We start from the raw sequence: 22,631 nt of genomic DNA, 5'->3' as shown, positions 1-22,631 counted from the left end.
TTTGCATGCAGCTTGGCCATTGGGCTATGCAAATCAGCCTGCTCCAGCAATTTGACCCCAGCTCCTGGAGTCAGGTTGAGAGGAGCGGAAAAGGGAGGAGCCACGCGGGAGGCGAGCCGAGGGGGCGGGGGCGGGGGCGGTGCCGAGAGGGGAAGGCGGGTCCCGCGCGCACTCTTATCCGGTTGGCGGGGACCATTGGGAGTGGGGGGCTTTAGCAGAGGCTAGAGGTGGCCTCAGCTTGGGCTGAAGCAGGCTGCCAAGTGTTTTTCTATAATAGTTGCGGCACTTTTTTCTTATTATCTTTTCATGTCTTTTGTTTTAAGGGGTGGCTATTAAAATCTATTTCCAGGGTTAATGCACTGAAGTCTAGTAATTATTAGTAAGCAGGTTACATTAAAAAAGTGTCTCCAGACCTCCGGGGCAAAGTTTACCTCAGAAGTGTTGTTTATCTAAGTCTAGGCGAAGCTGCTTATTAGCAGTAGTATTATTTCGGTGCCCTGATGGCTGGTTTGATTTATTTTTGGAAAGCTGCAAGGGTTGGAAGCTGAAAAAAGAAAAACCAACCCGTTTGTATTCAGGGATGGCAGGGAACCAAGTTAGAATCTTTTCCACAGAAAGCAGAACGGTTTCCCACCTGCCCGGTGTAACTGGGAAATCGTGAGCTGGTCTGCGTGGGGAGCTGGTGACCACATGTGGGAATCCCTGGCAACCCAGATTCTCCTTTCTCAAAGAGCCTTGCCCAAACAAGGATCCTTCTGGACGCCCACCAGCTGAGAGACAACCATCTGACACCCACACAGCCCACAAGTCTAAATTCAAAATGCTCTCGATATGCCCTAAGCTTCCTTTCCTAACGTATGTATGTCGTTACCTTCCACAGAGAGCCTCCTATGATCTCACTGTGAATTATTGATGTTAGATGCTGAATCATGAAGCTGTAACTATAGGAAGTTTTTAGTCATATGCTAAAATTTCACCTTTGAGATAATGGCAACTTGTAGGTGGAAAGCAGACCTTTAAAACTGCAAATGGTAGTTACACATTTTTGAAAAACAAACTTTAATATATAGACTCTCACTGAGTAGTTCAAAAGTCCCTTCCTTTGTTTTATGGTTTATGCAATAAAAGCAAAAACATTTCTTAAACCTACTGAAGTCATCAAAAGTGGTGAAAATGGCTCCCACATGCTTGCATTCAAAACAGTGCTTGCATTATTAAGGTTGCTGTACAGCCAAAGGTCACAGAAGTAATTTCTGCAAAGGTACCTGGAAGTTTTGCACCCTTATGTTTTTATCACTCTAGACAAAATATTCTCCAGCTCTCTTGATCTTAATTTGGTGGAAAAGAAAAGTGATAGGTTTTCTGGTTCATTTATTTGAGTTGTCATTTTGCACTCATTTTTTCACTGTGTTGTCAGCCATGGACAACATTTGAGTAAAGAAATGGTCATGGTCAGTGCATAATTCACCTAAGCATGACTATGTATCTCATATCTATGCCTTAAATCTTAACATTTGATGTCTTTCTTAAAGAATTCCTCAACATTGAAATTTAGGTAGGTTACCGAAGCATTTTCAGTTTTGCAGACAAAACCTGAATTACACAATCTAGCCTGAGTCATCATTTGGCGATTGTTAATATGTTCCGTGGAACTCCAAGGTTCTATCCACTAGGCATTTCTTAGAGGTTCTTGGGAAGAAAATGTGATCACAGCAAGCTGACAAAGAATTAGGGAATCATGTGAGTTTCTTGACAGCAAGGACTTCATCAGTTTGGTGTCCTCAGCTCCTAGTACAATACCTGCATTTAGTAGAAGCACAGTCAAGGTTTATTGAGTTGAATAGAATTTGAGAGTTAAATAAGATATCAGAATCCTGCAGTCCTGTGCATTGCATGAATTCTAACATATTGCACATTTAACGTTAGTTCAAAAACACTTTTGCCTGTCTTCTTCTATACCAAGAACTGTACAATTCCTGGTCCTTTGCCTTTAAAGAGCTTAGGCTCTTATTGGTATGTCCATGCTTGAACTGGATTTTGGGACAAAATAGTATGCACTGTCATCAGCTAGCTATGCTGAAAGTCCCATGACTTCAGTCATCTGAATGGAGGCTGTAGGACAGTAGAACCGGTGTATTGTTTACACCAATTCAAATGAACCACAGTCCTAAAGTGCCCCACCCAAGTCGACTATATCCAGTAAAAATGTGATATCAAATGGTTACTTCTTATTATAGGCTTAGTCCTCCACTCAAAAATTATACTGCATGCTATATTTGACTTCATCAGAAAGTTATTTGCCCAAGTATTTTGGGGATTTTCTCTGAGATAAGCTTGGGCTTCCAGTATGCAAAAATATTCATTTGTCATACTTTCTGACTCAGATACGTTACATCATTTTGCCTGATTGCTGAGTATACCTAGAATGTTTTCTCAGTGATTATCTTCAAAGTTGGGCCTCATGACTGGAAGTAAAAACTGCATTTAGCTACACAGTTAGATTGTAGTTACACATTAGAATGGACATAGTTGATTTATCATTAACTGTTTATTAGTCCTGGAGGACATTGATAGTCAATGGTAAATCAGAGAAATTTTCCTATATCAATATTATATATATATATATATTTCTTTATAATCAGTGTGATAACTCCAATATGTGATGTCATTTTAAAAACCACTACAGGTAACTCTGACAACTGCCAAGTACACAGGAGTAGAATGCTCTTGTAGTAATGTTTGTAAAGATACCAAATGATTATATTTAGAAATCATATGGAAATATATACTCAAGAATTGTTCAATTATTTTAGCACTGCTACTTGCTTTGCATATTAAAGATCTTTTTGATATTTTAGTCATGCTTATCCTACATACATTCCTACTACTGGTTCCATAATGCAGAATTATTCTTTCTTTCTTTCAAAAAACAATCAATGCTTTAACATCTGAAAGAAATATAATGCTTGTTATTTCAGTATTAGATCATTGTCCACATCAAAGGAGAAGATCAGTTCAACTATGATGGATGTATTTTCCACCTACCTAGAATTGTATTGTATTATTTTTTCTTGTTAAAAATCATAAGGTTCCTGGTCAGGTGCAGTAGCTCACGCCTGTAATCCCAGCACTTTGAGAGGCTGAGGAGGTCGGATCACCTGAGGTCAGGAGTTCAAAACCAGCCTGGCCAACATGGTAAAACCCCACCTCTACTAAAAATACAAAAATTAGTTGGGGCCAGGTGTGGTGGCTCACACCTGTAATCCCAGCACTTTGGGAGGCCAAGGCGGGTGGATCACCTGAGGTCAGGAGCTTGAGACCAGCCTGGCTAAGGAGTTTGAGACCAGCCTGGCTAACATGGTGAAACCCCAGCTCTACTAAAAATACAAAAATTAGCCAGGCGCGGTGGCAGGCACCTGTAATCTTAGCTACTCGGGAGGCTGAGGCAGGAGAATCACTTGAATCTGGAGGTGGAGGTTGCAGTGAGCCGAGATGGTGCCATTGCACTCCAGCCTGGGTGACAAGATTGAAACTCCGTCTCAAAACAAAAACAAAAACAACAACAAAAAACTAGTATAATATTCTTAATGCCATCTTTTTTGTGTGTTCAATAAATCCTTATCCTGTGGAAATTCTCTTCAGCTATTAAGAATCATGGTAGTAATCATAGTGTTAATTTGAGCTTTGGGCTGGCCACCTTGTGCTGCCATCAGCTGCTCACATTTCACCAGCCAAGCAAGGCCCAGCCAGTGGAGAAGTCAGATGAAGAGACTAACTAGAACATTCTTCAAGATCAACACCCCCTAACCCCTCACCTCTCTGTCGGTGCGTATCAGAAGGCTTCTATCATGGGAGGAATGTTCTGAGAGTCTCTGCTTTGTAGCCTAATCACTGGTGAGGGAAGTAGGTGGTCTGAGTTGGTGATTGGCCACTGGTAGGTTGTTTTTGCACCTTGAACAGATTTGTGAGTTTGCTTTTTTTTTTTTCTTTTTTGAGACAGGGTCATCCTCTGTCATCCAGACTAGAGTGCAGTGGCACTGTCATAGCTCACTGCAGTCTTGAACTCCCAGGCTCAAGCGATCTTCCTACCTCAGCCTCCTGAGTACCTGGGACTATAGGCACATGCCATCACACCAGCCTAATTTTAAAATTTTCCAAAGAAACGGGGTCTTGCTTTGTTGCCCAGGCTGGTCTCAAACGCCTGGGCTTAAGCAGTCCTCCCACCTTGGCCTCGCAAAGTGCTGGGATTACAGGTGTGAGCCACTGCGCCCAGCCAATTTGTGAGTTTTCTCTCTCTGAAATAAAAGAAACAATTCTATTCACCCATCAACTTCATTGCAAAGTTTTCTTCTTCCTAACTTCTTAACAGCTCATGCTTATACCTCTTCTCTGTACTCACTCTCTTGGTGACCTCATATGGTCCCATGGCCTTAATTATTTATATGCTGATGACTCCCAAATATATTTCAAACCTGGTCAGTCATCTCTTCTGAACCTCAGCGCTTATTCATCATATCTGCATCAATATATAGTAAGCATCTTAAACTTAAAATGACAATTGTTGCTCTCCTGATTGTCTGGCCAAATCTGTGCCTACAATAGGTCAATGGCAACTCCATTCTTCCCACTGTTCAGCCCCCCACACCTTGGTGTCATTCTTGATTCCTTTTTCTCACAACCACATCCAGTCCATCAGTAAATCCTATAGGCTCCATTTCAAAATGTAAAATAATTCAACCATTTCTCATCACCACTACCACCAGCATCATCTCCCACCTAGGAAAATGTAACAACTGGTCTCCCTCTGCTTTTGCCTTTCCTCCCTTCACCTCCAGCAGCCGAAGTGATCCTGTAAATAGTAAGTCAGATCCCAGTCAATTCCTTAACCCAAAGTTATCAATGGCTTTTCTTTTTACTCAGAGAAAAACCCCTAGTCCTTACTATGGCTTAAAATACCATATAAAATCTGTGCCCATGATGAAAATGTCCTAATATTGACAATGGTGACAATTGTACAAATCAGTTAATATAGTAAAACCCATTGAATAAAATATTTAGGGTGTGTACAGAATGTGAATTATATCAATAAAGCTGTTATAAAAATCTGATCCCTACAGCAATCTTATCTTACACTGTTCCCCCCATGCTCATTTCTCTCTAGCCATATTGGACTTCCTTTTGCCTCAGGGCCTTTGTGCTGACTGTAAGCTTGGAATGTTTTTTCTCCTGATACCACATTGCTCATTGCCTTCCAGCCCCCTTCCTAATGAGCCATACCCTGCTCACTCTAGTTGAGTTGCAATACCTCTACTCCCTGGCACCACTAATCTCTTAAATCCTGTTTTTTTAAAAGATCATGTCACAATCACCTTCAAACATATATATTTTACTTATATATATTGTTTGTTATCTGATTCTCCTCCTGCCCACTCCACTATCCAAAAATATGGGGTAGAATTTTGTTTTGTTCACTGATTGGTCCCTAAGTGACTAGAACAGTGCCTTATACAGAGTGGACTCTTAATAAATATTTGTTTTGTGGTTTTTTTTTTTTTTTGAGATGGAGTCTCACTCTGTCGCCCAAGCTGGAGTCCAGTGGCGTGATCTCGGCTCACTGCAAGATCCGCCACCTCCCAGGTTCACGCCATTCTCCTGCCTCAGCCTCCCGAGTAGCTGGGACTACAGGTGCCCGCCACCATGCCTTGCTAATTTTTTTTGTATTTTTAGTAGAGATGGGGTTTCACCATGTTAGCCAGGATGGTCTCGATCTCCTGACCTCATGATCCACCAATAAATATTTGTTAAATCAGATATTATTGAATGAATAAGGTACACAGATTTTAATATATAATTGATGAATTAGAACATAAGAGTTATATAATTTGTTGTCTTTTTTGTATATTAGAAAGGAAGGTGTCTTGATCAAATACTGTTTTGGGGCTTGTATTTTTTTTTCAGTCCTCCAAGACATCAGAAAACTACTTGTATTGTTTTAGTTACAGAGGATTGTGCACCCTTATCTGCATTCATATTATTCTCATAGTTCCTCCACCCCCGTCCAACTGTTTTTCTTATAATTTTTTCAGGGGTTATAAACTGGCCCATTTTGTAAGCTAAGGATTTTGACCTGTACTGTATACACATATAATACCCAATAGATTAAAAGGTGCTTAATTGCCAAGCTTCAAGTCTTGTTCTTTCAATGTAGCACAAAGAGATTATAATGATGAGGAAAACAACTCTGAAAGGTTTTATGAAGGTCAGTTTTGAAGTGGGAGATTTGAAAGCAAAGATGGGTTATGTTGCGGAAGCAACATACAAGAAACACAATTGGAGATGAAATTAAGGAAATAAAGTAGTATTTAGGAGACTGAGAATGAAAGAAAAAGAAATAAAAGAGAATAAGAGCATTCTTTACTACTATTTGAACTTCTACCTCTCTCTCTGGCTTTAGTGCTTGTAAGCATTTAATCCTGATTAACTGGAAATTTCTGCCAGTAAAACTTATTCTTTGAAATAGCTTATAAGTTTTTTTTGTTCTTTGAATAATATGCATTCTTTTATTTTGGTTTGGTCCTCATGTACTTTGGCAATAAAATGTCAGTCTCAAAGTCTGGAAGATATTAAATATTAAAACAAGATCATTTAGGATCAAGCTCTGTAAGACTGTGATGTTTTGAAGAGGGTCTGGGACATGGTCTTTTGGAGTGCTCATTTCTGTATAGCTGGTCTTAGATGTGGGCCACAGCCATGTTTGTGTGACAGTAGTCTTTCTGGCTCCCATGAGACTTTGTATGTAAAGGTCCAAAGTAGCCTCATTTTCAGTAACCAAAGAATGTAGTGAATAGTCTGCTATCTGGCTATCCATTATGAACACTTTACTTCTGTGCTTTGTGGACCATATCAGTTTGTGGCAAAGTGATGGATTGTGTTTAACATTCTGTTGTTGACCTGTAAGGATTTTTGCCATATGTTCCAGCTCATTCCCTTAAGATATAGGAGGGGGCAATCTTATTAGTATCATTGTCCACTAAGCAGAAATGTGTCAGAGATTTTGCTTTCTCAGCTGGAGACTCCCTCTTGGCAAGCCGTCCTCCCTATTTTAGGAAAGCATCGCCATCAAATACAAGAAGGCCAGTTTATAAGCTTATTTGTTTATATTGTATATCTGGTCTGTATTTATGGAAGTTTTGAAATGATGCTGTAAAATTAAGAACTATGTGGCTACTTTGCAGACATAGTAACAATAATAAATCTAATGTGATGTCCCTCCAAGAATGTGGCTTGAATGATAGAATCTTTAGCAGGTTGTTTACCCTCGCCATTCCTCAGTTTCCTCATTTGACAAATATTTGTGAACTCTTTTTAATTTTGAAAAGAACTCCCTTTCCCCAAAATCCACAGTAGGCATAATCCCCACATATAGATAGATAAAAGTGGAAGTGTTGTGGCTGCAGTAGCCGGATAGCAGTGGGGGTGAAGGGCAGGGATTGGCAAGTTTAGGCTCCCCCTCACTCCCCTCCTGCAATACACCCCATAGCCTCTGAGCCATGCATATTGGTCACAATGGGAAATGTCTGGTTCCCTAAGACCCTTCCAGCTCTAACATTTTTTACTTAATAATTTTATTATTCTATAATTACTCTATATTTTTCGCAGTCACTGAGAAACCTCAAATACCTTACCTTACCACAAAAAAAGTTATTTTTCTGGGCCTTAAAAATTCAATCACCAGATAATGTGTCTAAAGAATTTAAAAAACATTCATGTTCCTCTGCTTTGATATCAATTTTCAAACATTTCAATCTGTTTCCATAGGTCAGTTGAAGTTATGTTACAACTTGCCTTATTAACCTTAATTTATTGTCTGGTTACCAAATGCTATGGAGTATGATTTGGCACTGTGTCTTAATAAACAGGTCACACCTGGGAGCTAGTGAGACCTCTCCCATCTGAGAAGAAGGAGCTACAACAGATGGTAAAACGACTGAAAACCAGGTGGGGTCACTGTTTAATGACCATCTGAATTAAGTTTGGTTAATTTGGCGTGTCCCTAATTATCCCTAGCAACTGGACCCTCTACTCCATTTTATAAGTTTGGATTTATATCTTTTATGTAAACTATCAAAACAAGTCCATCTGTGATCCTGAAGCTGTATTTGCCTTAAATCTAACCACAGGGGAAATCCTAATTTATTTGGTTCTAGCTATGAGGAGTCCTTAAACACTGGGTTTTTACAGTGCTCTGCAATTTACTTTTTCTCAGGTTGTCACCTATGATATGAGCATTGCCCTTCATTCTTCTCCAAGTTTAATGAAAAGACACTTAGCATAATTTCCAAAACTCAGACATGTCAAAACTTCAACCTATGTGCATCCCTTTAGAAGATTTTCTCATGAAATCTGTGTGCAGCAGTGAGTTGGCTTCCAGAGATGTTTAGAAAATTCAGAAGTTATGCTGTCCTCAACACTATAATAGATTCAAGGCCTGCCAGCTCCTTTAAAGACACTTCCTCCCCTACCCCCACCAGACCTTATTTTAGTTTGTTTATTTGTTTTTGTTTGTTTGTTTTAGGCAGGGTCTCCCTCTGTCACCCAGGCTGGAGTGCAGTGGCGCAATCTCAGTTCACTGCAGCCTCCAACTCCCAGGCTCAAGTGATCCTCCCCTAGGCTTTATTTATTAGTAAGAATATTAATTTGTGCTGGGATGGTGGCTTGCGACTATAATCCCAGCTACTCAGGGGGCTGAGGAGGGAGGATCACTTGAGACCATGACATCATGTAAACCAGGAGTCCAAGACCAGCCTGGGCAACACAGTGAGACCTCCATCTCTAAAAAAATTAAAATAAATTTTTAAAATATAAAAAGAAGAAAAAATACTAATTTGCTAAATGCTTATCATGCTTAGCACTATGGTAAATTTTTATTTACATGATGTCACTAAGCCCTCACAACAATCTATGAGATAGATACTATTATCTTCATTTTATTGCTAAGTAAGCTGTAGCCTACTGGAGAGGTTAAACTAGTTACTAACTCAAAAGACCCCTAGCTAAATGGCCAGGGCAAGATGCAAATGCACATCTGTGGGACTGCAAATCTCACATTCTTAACCACATATTATGCTTCTCTAGAACAGCTGTGGTTCACGTGGCATCAGAGTGTAGTGTTCAGAATGCAGACTCTGGAATCAGGCTTGGGCAAGCCATCTAAGCTCTTTTGCCTCTTTTCTGACAAACGCTGTCTCTTAAACTTATGATGAAAATCAAATGAGACAAAATACACACAGCACTTAGAGTACACTGCATGTAGCAGGACACCATGAATATTAATTAGATGGCACCCATTTTCCAATGTCCTTTCTAATTTTCTTTGTTCTTAATTCCTTCATCTAAGTAAAATATTGTATTTATTTCCATTTTCTCTAACATTTGAGGCATCATTGCTAACAGCAAAAGTACTGACTGGACTTCCTGGTCCGTCCTTACTGCTGTGAAAATTCCCCTGAATTTTGATGGCAGCCACAGGTAGATCCAATATACATGTTCCCTTTCTAACTATAGATGAACCGAGGTTCCCCCATCAGTGCATTTTAGATCTTTAGGCCGTTTTTTGTTTTTGTTTTTGTTTCCTTGTTTGTTTGAGATAGGGTCTTGCTCTGTCGCCCAGGCTGGAGTGCAGTGGCATGAACTCGGCTCACTGCAACCTCGGTTCACTGCAACCTCTGCCTCCCGGGCTCAAGTGATTCTCGTGCCTCAGCCTCCAGAGTAGCTGAGACTGCAGGCCTGCGCCACCATGCCTGGCTAATTTTTGCATTTTTAGTAGAGATGCAGTTTCACCATGTTGACCAGGCTGGTCTTGAATTCCTGGCCTCAAGTAATCCACCCATTTCAGCCTCCCAAAGTGCTAGGATTAGAGATGTGAGCCACCACAACCAGCCTTTTTAGGCAGTTTTGATAATGTGAATCATGTGTTTCTGTGCATGCTAAGGAACAGGCTTGATGTTATTCAAACACTTCTCGTGTGCGTGTTTTTTAATACAGAACAATGAGTTTCTCAAGTTCACTGTAAAATACTCATGTTTTCTTTTATCCTCTGAGAGCTTCCTGTATTTGTGAGCTCCTTTCAAATCAGCAACTGCAGCCTCGACATCTGGATCCTCCCTGGTGTGGGGAACATAAATTAACTGGTAGCACCCTGTAAATGTTATGGGCAGGAGGAGTTCAGGGAGTGCACAGAGGCAGGCCAGGGTGCTTTCAGTATGTGGCAGCTGGTCCCGATGTAGTGCCTCAGAACTGGGTTTAGCTGACGTCAGATAACACTGATGTGCACCAGATTGACTTGTAGTACCAGGAAAGCTGACCCCTCCCACTTCCCCTACTGCCCCTCTGCTTGCCAGGATGCTGGAGACCATTATGAACTCACAGTTGTCATTTGATCTCCATCTGGCTGCTGTCACTAAAGCTGCCTTTTATCATTTGCCAAAAAGTGTAAAGCAAAAGACATTTCCCTTTCTCACAAATCTTTGCTTCTAGTCCTTGCTCTTCTCATTTTCTGGGTAGTTCCAAGTAATTCTCCTTCTGTCTGAGTCTATGTAGCACCATCAGGAAACCAGCAAAGGACTCACTAGAATATTTACCCATATGCCATCTTCTTGGTGAACTAGATTTAGCAATGGATTTTTTAGGAAGTGTTAGAGGTGGGCTGTGGCTTTGCTGACTTCAAATATTATGTCTTAAGTTTGATGTGGTTTGAACTGCTGATATAAATGTGAGATTTGCGTGTATGAGCTCATATTGTGATAAATTTTATGAGGATGTAGATCACAACAGTCTAGCCATACAATTATGTGGGTCCCTGTATTAAATTAGAATCTACCCAAATTAAACAATGAATATAATAGCAACATGCCATAAATTGGATCTTCTAACAGCTTAGTAATATGAGGGGAATAGAAGAATAAATTCTGAGGTGATACTTGTTGTACTTAGTCACTAAGAACACTAGAATGTTAGTTGAAGCTGATCATAAATCCGGTACCAGCTTAAAAATTTACTGTTAGTGATCATCTAGCAGTTAAGATTTAGCAACATTAGCAAAAGATCATTCTTTGTCAAGAAAACTCTTTAGGGATGACATTTGATATTCAACAAGTGTTGATGGTAATGATGATGGAATATTGTACACTCCAAAAGTTTTGGAAACAAATTTAGGATTCTGATTTTTATGCAGTTTAGCAAATTAATTCTTCAAGAGGTAATTACAAAGAACCTTTTATGTATGTTCTCAGTATACTGTTTATAAAGAAATTAGAAGGCACTACACTCTATATGAATCCATAGTGTGTATGTATGTGTGTGCAAAAAAAAGTGTGGATGGATATACCTCAAAATGTAAGCAATGTTCCTTTATTGTCCATCCTTCCTTCCTTGCTTCCTTCCTTCCTTGCTTCCTTCCTTCCTTCTCTCCTTCCTTCCTTTCTTTCTTTCTTTCTTTTTCTTTCTTTCTTTGTTTCTTTGTTTCTTTGTTTCTTTGTTTCTTTGTTTCTTTCTTTCTTTCTTTCTTTCTTCCTTCCTTCCTTTCTTCCTTCCTTCCTTCCTTTCTTCCTTCCTTTCTTCTTTTCTTCTTTTCTTTTCTTTTTTGACAAGGTCTTTCTCTGTCACCCAGGCTGGAGTGCAGTGGCCCAATCATGATGTGTATGAGCTCATACTGCAACCTTGACCTCCCAGGATCAAGCAATCCTCCTACTGAGTAGCTGAGACTATAGGCACACACTTAGCTAATTATGTTTTTTAGAGATGGGGTCTCACTATGTTGCCCAGGCTGGTTTCAAACTCCTGGATTCAAGCAATCCTCCCACCTTGGCCTCCCAAAGTGCTGGGATTACAGGAAGAGCCTCCGCACCTAGCCTCAGTGTTCTTCTTTGAGTGATGAGATTACTGGTGATTTTTATTTTCTTATTTTGCCTACTTTTATTTGGTGATGTTTTATATAATAAGTGTGTGTTACTTTAAATATATTTTTAATTGAGTAATATTTATCTTCAGTGAAACACACAGATCATAAATGTACAATCTGATGAGTTTTGATAAATGTATATTCTTGTGTTACCCAATCAAGATATAAAGCCCAATCAGGACATAACCCTATTAGTGATATATCCCCAATCAAGATATATAAAGTTTACATTACTTCAGAGAGTTCCATTCTTTCAGTCTCTTAAAAGAAGCTTCTGTGTAGATTAAGATAGGACACATACACACAAAAATTGAAACAGTTCTCTGCCTTCAAGGATCTTACCTTTTTGGTGAAGAAATGAGAAAAATAATAGAGAGCTTAGCACGGAGCATTTAAGGGTTAAATTATGTAGCTCAAAAGAACTCAGAGAAGAGCCAGATAATCAGGTAAGATTTTAAAAGAGCTTAGATCTGTTATTTCATTCCAGTAGAAAAGGTGAAAAGTTTACTAGACTATAAGCTCTAAAAGGTCAAGTACTATGTTTATCTTGTTCACTGTATTCTAAGTGTCTTACACATTGCCTGGCAGAGGATACTGACTCACTAAATATTTGTGGACTGATTAAAAGGGTATTATTTATTCAATTACTCTGTCAACAAATATTTATTTACTCTTCCAGTAAATATTTGTTAAGCTCCTACTGTGTGCCATGGATTGTGCTAAGCCCAGGAGGGAGATATGATGGTAAAATGATAGACATTGTTCCTAACCTCATGGACTTTACAATTGTATCTTGGTGGAAGACTGATACTGTATTAAAAGTGTTTTAGAGACAGATAGAATGGAACTGTGAGGGATTAAAGAGGAAGGCATGTGGTGAGCCTGCAAGCATATTCAGAAGTAGAACTGAGCCTTGGCAAATGATTGCCTGTGATAGATAAATGAGTAGAGGTATCAAAAGTGACTTCAGATCCTGGAGTAAGCAACTTGGTTAATGGTAGAACCACTTAATTTTTTTTCTTGCAGATCATTATGCAATAGAGGCCAAGATTATGGATCCACCATGGTGAGGGTCAGACATCTGTTGGCCATGGTTCAAACTATGGGTCTATAATGTATCCATCGTATACCTTGGGGCAAAGGCAATGATTTACAATGCTGGTGCAGGGCAAAATGGTGACTTGAAAGGATTTTTATTTGGTGCCCATTACCTGTTGTTCTGATTACCTTTTCTTCCTCTTGCCCATGTTCCTCCCTTTATTCCACTGACCCTCATATCCTTTTCAGGTATCTGATAACTCATCCCTACTAAGGTGATTACTGATCATTGTGGCTGTAAGGTGGAGACGCCTTTTTCCCACCTCCCAAACCCTTACATACCCGGAATGTTTGCCTTTTAAGAGGAATAGAATGGATATTAGGGGCATAAGGATGGGTCACAGAGCCAGTTGTTATGATTGTAATTTCTTGGTGAAGGAGTCTGCCCTTATGCCTGTGCCAGTTAGACCTATCCTATTGCTTTCTATTTCCCTATATTCTCTACCTTGCCCTTTTCCAGTATTTTTTTGTACTCTGTACATGTTAGTTGTCTTTATTCTGAATCCTAGCTCTGTGATCTTGAAAAGTTTACTTAACATTTATCGACCTCCATTTCTTCAACTATAATTGGGAGATACATCAATGTCAGTGGATTCAGTGTCTTCACATGGCAGTTTCTCAGGATTAGTTGCTTTTCCCCACCACACACTTATTGGATCCATTGCTGAGAGTTCTAGACTCAGGAAATCACTCTCAGGTATACTCAGCTTTTATAGACAAGCTTAATGGTACCACCTCATTGGATTTGAGAGGCATTTCTCTCAACTCTGTTCCCTCTCTTACTTGCCCAGTTTCATTTGTCTCACCAAATTGTAAGTGTATACCACTGGACACAATAATTATTAAGGAAGAGTGTACCTGGGTCTGCACAAATCCATTCCCACTGGGATCAAAGCAATTCAATAAGTCTCTGCACTGATTACCAATCACAAATGTCCTTGTATATGAAGACTAATCCTTAGTTTGAAGACTAATCCTTAGTTTGAAGACTACACATGTGAATCAAGCAAAGTAACCCAAATCATTATGTGTATGAATAATATATGTGTTTATCCAAATTAGTTAATAAGAGCCCCCCATTCATTCATTTTGTTATACATAGTTGTTAAGCACCTAGTATATGCAAGGGAGTGCACCAGGTACTGGGTCTACAGTATTGAATAAGACAGATTTCCAGTGGAATTAACATTGAGATGTACTTGAAACAACTAATTTCAGACTTAATTGCTCAATTGTAATTGTGGTAAGTTCTACAAAGAAACAATTACAGGTTGCTATGAGAGTTTATAGCAGGGGATATGATCAAGTGAGGAGGTCAGGGAGAGTGGGAGAGACTTCTGAGGAAATTACTGAAGCACTAAATATGAGAGCTAAAAGCATTTTGTGGAAAGAAGGAAATGTAAGAGCTCCCCACTTGTTTGTAAGAAGATTCTGAGTTTCCCAAAGCTGGTGTTGCCATCTCAGGATCTGACCCTGGGAGAGCTGATTTCAGCCTAGGGACTTCATGTTCTGAAGCTGAGATCATGAAGGATCTTCTCACTTGCTTATACCCAAAGGGAAGAAACTCACCCTCAGAAGCCAACCAACCAATTATAATTGAGGGAAAAGTTATAAAGGTGTTAAGCATCATTTAATTTTGCTTACCAAAGACATACACAGGCTACCCAGGAAACTGACTTCACTGAAGATCTGCTTGGGGACAACCCAACCAATTATAATTGAGGGAAAAGTTATAAAGGTATTAAGCATCATTTAATTTTGCTTACCAAAGACATACACAGGCTACCCAGGAACCTGACTTCACTGAAGATCTGCTTGGGGACAACCATTTTACACATCTTTGAGCTCACTCAGTCCTCTGTTAACCTTACAATGCAGATAAAAATCCCAATTTACACCCAGGATAACTGAAGGTGAGAGGAATTCAATAACTTGTCCACACCTGTACCAACCTTCATCCATCTGATTTGAAAGCTCATGATCTTTCAGCTACACCAAGCTACCCCATTGTTAGCATTTTGTTAGATGACTGCTGTCTTCTTTAGGAACAATTAGAACAGTAAAGAAAAGTTTGAAGTGTCAGTTATCCCTGGAACCAGAAAAATAATCTACTATGTTCCCATTTTTAAAAACTGTTATTTAATGAAGGGGATTATGAGTCATAAGCAGATCAATACTTTGACTATTTAAATTTGTGTATGTTGATATTCTAGTTCCCTAAGTTTTATGAGCAAAGAGGGGAAAGGGAAGTTAGCATGATTAGGACACTTTCCACAAATGGACTGAACCTTCAACAACTGAACAGAAAAATGTACCTTTAGAGGGTTAAGAACAGGTAATTTAGTTGTGTGAACTATTGTCAGCCTCCAAGGATCTAGGTGTCTTTGTATAAATGTCTTTGTATAAATGAAGCCAGTATTGGTGTTTGAACTTCCAAAGAACTAATGAACTAATGTGTTATTTAATTTTATCCTTATTATATTGGAGATCACATTCAAATAGTGCAAGTAAACCAAAGAGAATTCAAGAAGCTTCTGGGAATAGCTTGGTAATTGAGAAATTCCACTGGAAGTGTGTAAGGATCATCTCTTTTCATTTCATAGGAAAAACTCAAGTGACCCAAAAGCCACTGTTCTTTGGAAATAGAACAAGAAATAAATAAATAGACTGTTCATGTGCCTCTTTGCTTATGGAAGTTACAGAAATGGAAATCTGCACAACGGCTTCATTCCTTGCTGTTTGTGCATTAGCCTTCTCTAGGCTGGGAATGTCACTGACAAAAATGATGCTAAATAATTATATCAAGTACTACTTTAAATTGGTCCGGCAGGCTGAAGCAAAATGGTAAAGTTTTCTCCTGAATGCCACACGCTTGGTTGCGCCTTTCATTTATTCCTTTTCCCTCACGTGCACCTTGAGTGTCAATGCCGGCAAGCCATACCTTCTATTTATTTCTCAGACTGCTTTTCTTGGATATCCCCACTGAAAAGACCAAGGTCAAAGCTTGAGCCTCTCTGGCCCATATAATGGCCACTGCTGCCATGCTGTCCCCTTGTTTTCCTCTCTTACCCTCCAGTCTACTTTCCATAGGGCTGCCAGAAGTATCCTCTTACAAATTAATGCAATCAGGTTGCATCAATGCTGAGATCCCTTCTATGGCTTCTTGTTAACTATGGGACAAAGTCCAGGCTACTTAGCATAGTATATCATCTGGCCTTTGCTGACGTCACTGGTGTCATTTCCTGTCTCATAAAGTACTTATTCTCCAGGTACTTCTTGTTCCAACAATACTGAAGCATTTATGGTACCCAGCATGTCTGGCTTCATGGGTGTGCAATCTATGCTGTTTGAGAGGGTGCTGAGCTCAGAAGGGCTCCATTTCATTTAATGCTCTGCTATAACTATTTTGAACTAATTATTGCATGAAAGAACCCAGGTCTTCATGCTGGCCAGGCACAGTGGCTCATGCCTGTAATCCCAGCACTGTGGGACACTGAGATGGAAGGATTGCTTGAGACCAGGATTTTGAGACCAGCCTGGTCAACACGTTGAGACCCCATCTCACTTAGATGCCTTTGCATATGTTCCCTCTCACCACATCTTCATTTTGCACTGGGTCCTGCTGGCCAAACGTCATCTTGGTTCACTCCTATGTGTGTTGTTTCACTCCTCTGTCTGCCTAGTCTATCTTTCCCTTCACTCCGTTTCCTGTGCTTTTCTTTGTCTTCCAAACCTAATTTGAATACTACTTCTTTTTTTTTTCTTTGAGACAGTCTCGCTCTGTTGCCCAGGTTGGAGTGCCGTGGCATGATCTCGGCTCACTACAAGCTCTGCCTCCTGGGTTGATGCCATTCTCCTGCCTCAGCCTCCCAAGTAGCTGGGACTACAGGCACCCGCCACCAGGCTCAGCTAATTTTTTTGTATTTTTAGTGGAGACGGGGTTTCACCGTGTTAGCCAGGATGGTCTTGAACTCCTGACCTCATGATCTGCCCGCCTCAGCCTCCCAAAGTGCTGGGATTACAGGCCTGAGCCACCGCACCCAGCAAATACCACTTCTTTAGTGAAAGCTTCCCTGATCATTTGTCCCTCCATCCCCTACCACATTAATCACTCTCTCTTTTGTGCCACCCCTTTATATTAAACATGTATCTATTATAGTCCTTCCAAGTGCAGAATCTACCTTGAAGGGTAGGTGCTGTGAGGTTTAAATAAGAAAATACATGTAACATGCTTAGAGCTCATAATAAATGTTACCTGTTTTTATGCATTATTCTTTTTGGTGTTCCTGGAACCTAGTAGAGTGACTAGAACATTTATTCTTAGACATTTATTAAATACCTACTGTATGCTAGGGTCTGTAATGGCTTCCTGAGATACAAGGTAAAATAAGACATATCCTTTACTCTTAAATAATTTAACTTTAGTCAAGGAGAGGGATGAACCACTAATAATCATGGTCCAGTAAAAAAAAAATGCTAAGTGCCAAGTATTTCAAGAGCACAGAAGAAAGATATTGGGATCAGACTGAGAAGTTGAAGCTTCATCTGAATTATGCAGGATAAGTGGGAGCTACCTAAACATGGAAAAGGAGGAAGATTATTCTAGGGAGAGAGAACATATGCAAAAGGCACATAAGTGTGAAAAGTCTTGCATGTTTAGGGAACTACATGTCATTCTATGTGACTGGAGCAAATGGTGTTTGGTGAAGTTCTAGAATGCTAGATCATCAGAAAGGACTAGCAAATAGATTTTCACTCCTGTCTATTGGTGGTGGCTGTCTAGAACATTGTGTTGTGAAGGATTCTGAAGCCATGGCCAGTCTCAGCGGGAAATAGTGATGGGATACATTGATTCCCTTTGTTGTGGGGGCAGAAGAGGGGAGTGGGAGTCTGTATGTCATATATCTGCCATTATGATGGATTAAGTAGGGCCTCTTATTCTGTATTAAGAAGCTTGGATTTTATCCTGAAAGCTATAGGGAATTACTGAAAGATTTTAAGCATGGGAGTGACATGATCATATTACATAGTAGGTGCTCCACAAATGTTTGTTGAGTTGAACTGACTATGAATCCCACTTTACCTATTAATGATTTAGTGTATCAAATAGCACGCAAATGATCTGAACCCAGCAAATAAACTATGTATAATGGAGCCTATCGTGCTCAGTGGCTCTGTGCTAAGTGCTGGAAGAATTAGAATAACATCTAAAGGTGCTTAACATGCTCCCATGGTGTGGCTTACATAGGAAAACAGTCTGCTTCACACTGCAGTTTTAATCGGAGGATTAAAGTGGTGTTAATAATTTATGTAGCTATATTGTTTCATGCTATGCGCTGGAGCGATCCCAAAAGGAAGACTTCCAGGGGGCTTTTTGAACTTTTACCCTCCTGCTGGTTACATATAGTGAGAAAATGATTGGAAGAAATGAATTGCAATGTTTTCTAGATATAAATATATTAATATATTTCATAAATATTACTAATAGATCTTTTATTTGTAACTAGGTGGAAAGTGCTGTGAAATGTGGGTTACAACTGCAAATAAATAACCAGACTTATTATCCTTATTAAGAAAATAAATTAAAACCCTATACATTTGGCATTTGTTATCACCATCATTATCTTTTAACTGTCACTGGTAAAAGAATCTTGTGAGAATTTTGCTGGGAAAACTGTCTAGCCATATGTAGAAAGCTGAAACTGGATCCCCTCCTTACACTTTATACAAAAATTAATTCAAGATGGATTAAATACTTAAATGTTGGACCTAAAACCGTGAAAACCCTAGAAGAAAACCTAGGCAATACCATTCAGGACATAGGCATGGGCAAGGACTTCATGACTAAAACACCAAAAGCAATGGCAACAAAAGCCAAAATTGACAAATGGGATCTAATTAAACTAAAGAGCTTCTGCACAGCAAAAGAAACTACCATCAGAATGAACAGGCAACCTACAGAATGGGGGAAAATTTTTGCAATCTATTCATCTGACAAAGGGCTAATATCCAGAATCTACAAAGAACTCAAACAAATTTACAAGAAAAAAACAAACAACCCCATCAAAAAGTGGGCAAAGGATATGAACAGACACTTCTCAAAAGAAGACATTTATGCAGCCAAAAGACACATGAACAAATGCTCATCATCGCTGGCCATCAGAGAAATGCAAATCAAAACCACAATGAGATATCATCTCACACCAGTTAGAATGGCGATCACTAAAAAGTCAGGAAATAACAGGTGCTGGAGAGGATGTGGAGAAATAGGAACACTTTTACACTGTTGGTGGGAGGGTAAACTAGTTCAACCATTGTGGAAGACAGTGTGGCAATTCCTCAAGGATCTAGAACTAGAAATACCATTTGACCCAGCCATCCCATTACTGGGTATATACCCAAAGGAATATAAATCATGCTGCTATAAAGACACATGCACATGTATGTTTATTGTGGCACTACTCACAATAGCAAAGACTTGGAACCAACCCAAAGGTCCAACAATGATAGACTGGATTAAGAAAATGTGGCACATATACACCATGGAATACTATGCAGCCATAAAAAATGATGAGTTCATGTCCTTTGTAGGGACATAGATGAAGCTGGAAACCATCATTCTCAGCAAACTATCACAAGGAGAGAAAACCAAACACCACATGCTCTCACTCATAGGTGGGAATTGAACAGTGAGAACACTTGGACACAGGAAGGGGAACATCACACACTGGGGCCTGTTGTGGGGTGGGGAGAGGGGGAAGGGATAGCATTAGGAGATATACCTAATGTAAATGCCGAGTTAATGGGTGCAGCACACCAACATGGCACATGTACCCTAGAACTTAAAGTATAATTATATATATATATAAAGAATCTTGTGAGAATCTGTGTTTCTGAGAGAACACCCAAAGTGAGGTTGTTTCCTCAACACATTAAGTGTAATGGCCAAAGGCATATATTTCTATTTATTTTTCCTTGATTCCGAAGAGACTTAGGGTAGCATGAAACAATGCAAATAATACAGTGAGGAAAGTTAATTTAAAATAACTACAAAAGGTGGAACAAAGAGAATTTTTAATGTAAGAAAATTCAGTGGGATCTATGCATGAGATTAGTATACACCTTATATACATGTAACATGTAAGAAAATTATGTATCTCAAGATACTGAAGTCAACCAACACTTTAGGTCTCTCTTTTTTTTTTTTTTTTTTGAGATGAAGTCTCACTCTGTTGCCCAGGCTGGAGTACAGAGGTGTGATCTCGGCTCACTGCTGCAACCTTCGCCTCCTGGGTTCAAGCAATTCTCCTGCCTCAGCCTCCAGAGTAGCTGGGATTACAGGCGTGCACCACCACACTCGGTTAATTTTTTTGTATTTTTAGTAGAGATGGGGTTTCACTATGTTGGCCAGGCTGGTCTCGAACTCCTGACCACAAGTGATCCACCCACCTCTGCCTCCCAAAGTGCTGGGATTACAGGCATGAGCCACCATGCCCGGCCTTGTGTTCTTATTATGTACCAAAACCAAAACTGAAGTAATTAATATTTCTGATTTAATTTTTATAAATAAAAAGACTAAAAACAGATTTTTCAGATACTGCCTAGAAGTGATTAAAAGAATCACTGGAGATACTGAAACTAAAATTAAAATTTATACTGCATCGATTAATTACTTCCCTCTTCTTTATGGGTCTATCTGCTTTGTCTTTGTAGCTTTCTGGCATCATCCTCCTTTGACTTCCTGTCATTATAAAGGCTAACAATGGTCATAGATCAGGATGAAAGAGTTTCATCTTTGTGTAAATATTCTTTCTTGCAGTCACATTTGTGGGGTTGGGAGTAAGAGGAAAGAATTTGGAATGCAAACAACTTGAACTGACAGTGTTTTTCTGTATTACTAACATCTAGCACAGTTCCTAATACATAGCTGATTCTTAATAATTGTGAGTTGAAAGAAGAAATGAAGCTTCACAGAACTTATTAGTCCTTACAAAAATGCATAACCACTAAAGATGTATGCCAGTGTGATATCTTTATCATTACTTCTGATACTCAATTCTTAATTTGTATGGTGGTGTTACCTGAACATTTTGTTCTAAAAGCATCTAGACTACAATGCAACCCTAAGAAGAAGGTATGTTAGGAAGACAAGATGTGGAAATCAAAGAAAAATCAAAGAGAGAGCACTCAGTAATTCCTCTTCCTTTGCTGCTCCATTATTTATTATTTTCTTAATTCATGTTTTGTAAAAACAGGAAGACTTTTAAGTCCTCCAACAAAACTCTCCCACTCTCATCCAGCTGCCTCTTATTCTCAAAAAGGATTTTTTAGCTTCCATTTACCAAGTCTTTAGAACACTCAGAAAGTTTGGGAAAGAAAGAGTACACCACTGTTTTTGTTGTTGTTGTTGTTTCGTTTTTTATTTTTTATTTTTTAGTACACTTTGTGCTGGGTGCTCTGTTAGGTAATTTAGCAGAGATTATCTGATTTAGTCCTCACAGAAACCTTAACCGGTGAGTATGTTCCCAATTTATAAATCAAGAAACTGCTGCTCAGAAAGATATCCGGCTTCAAGGATTCAGCTGCAGGTCTATCCTCTACTGTGCAAGAGAGTAATTCTCCCACTCTCAAACCTTTGTGTTTGTTTGTTTGTTTTAATTGTTGATCAAAAGCTTCTATGCTCCATAATCATGAGGACTTAGTATTCCTCCCCTGGAGTAGGATTAATATTTATATTTCCAATGTATCTGGCATTAACTGTTACCAGTTAATCAATCCAGTTGGCCAAGTACTTTACAATGGTCTATTGTTTGAGCAGAAAAAGGAGGCAATGGCAAGTATATAGAATAAAAACTTTCTCTACTGTCACAGACATGATAGATCTCTAGTTCCACAAGATGACCATTAGAATGTGTTGCTCAAATTGCCAATACGATGATGATACTGATGATGAAAATGATGACAATAGTAATACACTCATTTCCTGAGCACCTAACATGTGCCTACGACCGTTTTAAACATTCCTATTGTCTCACTTGATCTTCCTGATAAAGTATGAAGTAAGTGTTATCGTCCTTACTTTACAGATGAGAAAACTGAAGCTCAGAGTTGTAATTTGCCACGTTCTGATAGTACAAAATGACAGAGCTGGGTTTGAACCGAGGTTTGATGCTCATCCCCCTGTCTTTAGCCATGATGCCACATAGCCTTCTATAATAACAACTAACATAATGGTACATACTATCACTTAGATTTTAGTTGTGCTTTCTTGTCTCTACCACAATTGCATTTGCTGGAATTCTTTTTGGAGTGTGTGTGTGAGTGTGTGTGTGTGTCTGTGTGTAGTAGGTGGTTGTATTTATTTCTACTTTATAGGAGAATTTTACCAATAATTCCATGACTTTAATACTCTTCATGCCCAGGATATGCTGGTTTGTTGTGTAACTTAATTTTTCTATAATTTATAATGCTCATTTCTGAAATAGTCTTCAGAATATGCTATTATCTCATTTTACTTCATTCATATATCTATGTATACATTTTTATATATTACATAAAATACATGTGCATATAA

At 39.2% G+C, this 22,631-nt stretch overlaps 3 annotated features.

Moving 5' to 3' along the window:
• Nucleotides 21–80: a silencer, noted in NCBI's record as "silent region_982". NCBI's record gives its function as "represses an Ori minimal core promoter by ATAC-STARR-seq in GM12878 lymphoblastoid cells {active_cell/tissue: GM12878}" and the evidence as "EXISTENCE:reporter gene assay evidence [ECO:0000049][PMID:35858748]".
• Nucleotides 91–270: a silencer, noted in NCBI's record as "silent region_981". NCBI's record gives its function as "represses an Ori minimal core promoter by ATAC-STARR-seq in GM12878 lymphoblastoid cells {active_cell/tissue: GM12878}" and the evidence as "EXISTENCE:reporter gene assay evidence [ECO:0000049][PMID:35858748]".
• Nucleotides 2,033–2,525: a transcriptional cis regulatory region, noted in NCBI's record as "candidate enhancer chr1.6815 targeted for multiplex CRISPR interference". NCBI's record gives its function as "positively regulates GADD45A gene expression in K562 cells {active_cell/tissue: K562}" and the evidence as "EXISTENCE:mutant phenotype evidence [ECO:0000015][PMID:30612741]".

This window comes from Homo sapiens, chromosome 1 (genome assembly GCF_000001405.40).
Source record: "Homo sapiens chromosome 1, GRCh38.p14 Primary Assembly".
Taxonomy (NCBI): Eukaryota; Metazoa; Chordata; class Mammalia; order Primates; family Hominidae; genus Homo; species Homo sapiens.
Note: the sequence above shows the minus strand (reverse complement) of the source record. Positions and strands in the feature narration are given on the sequence as shown.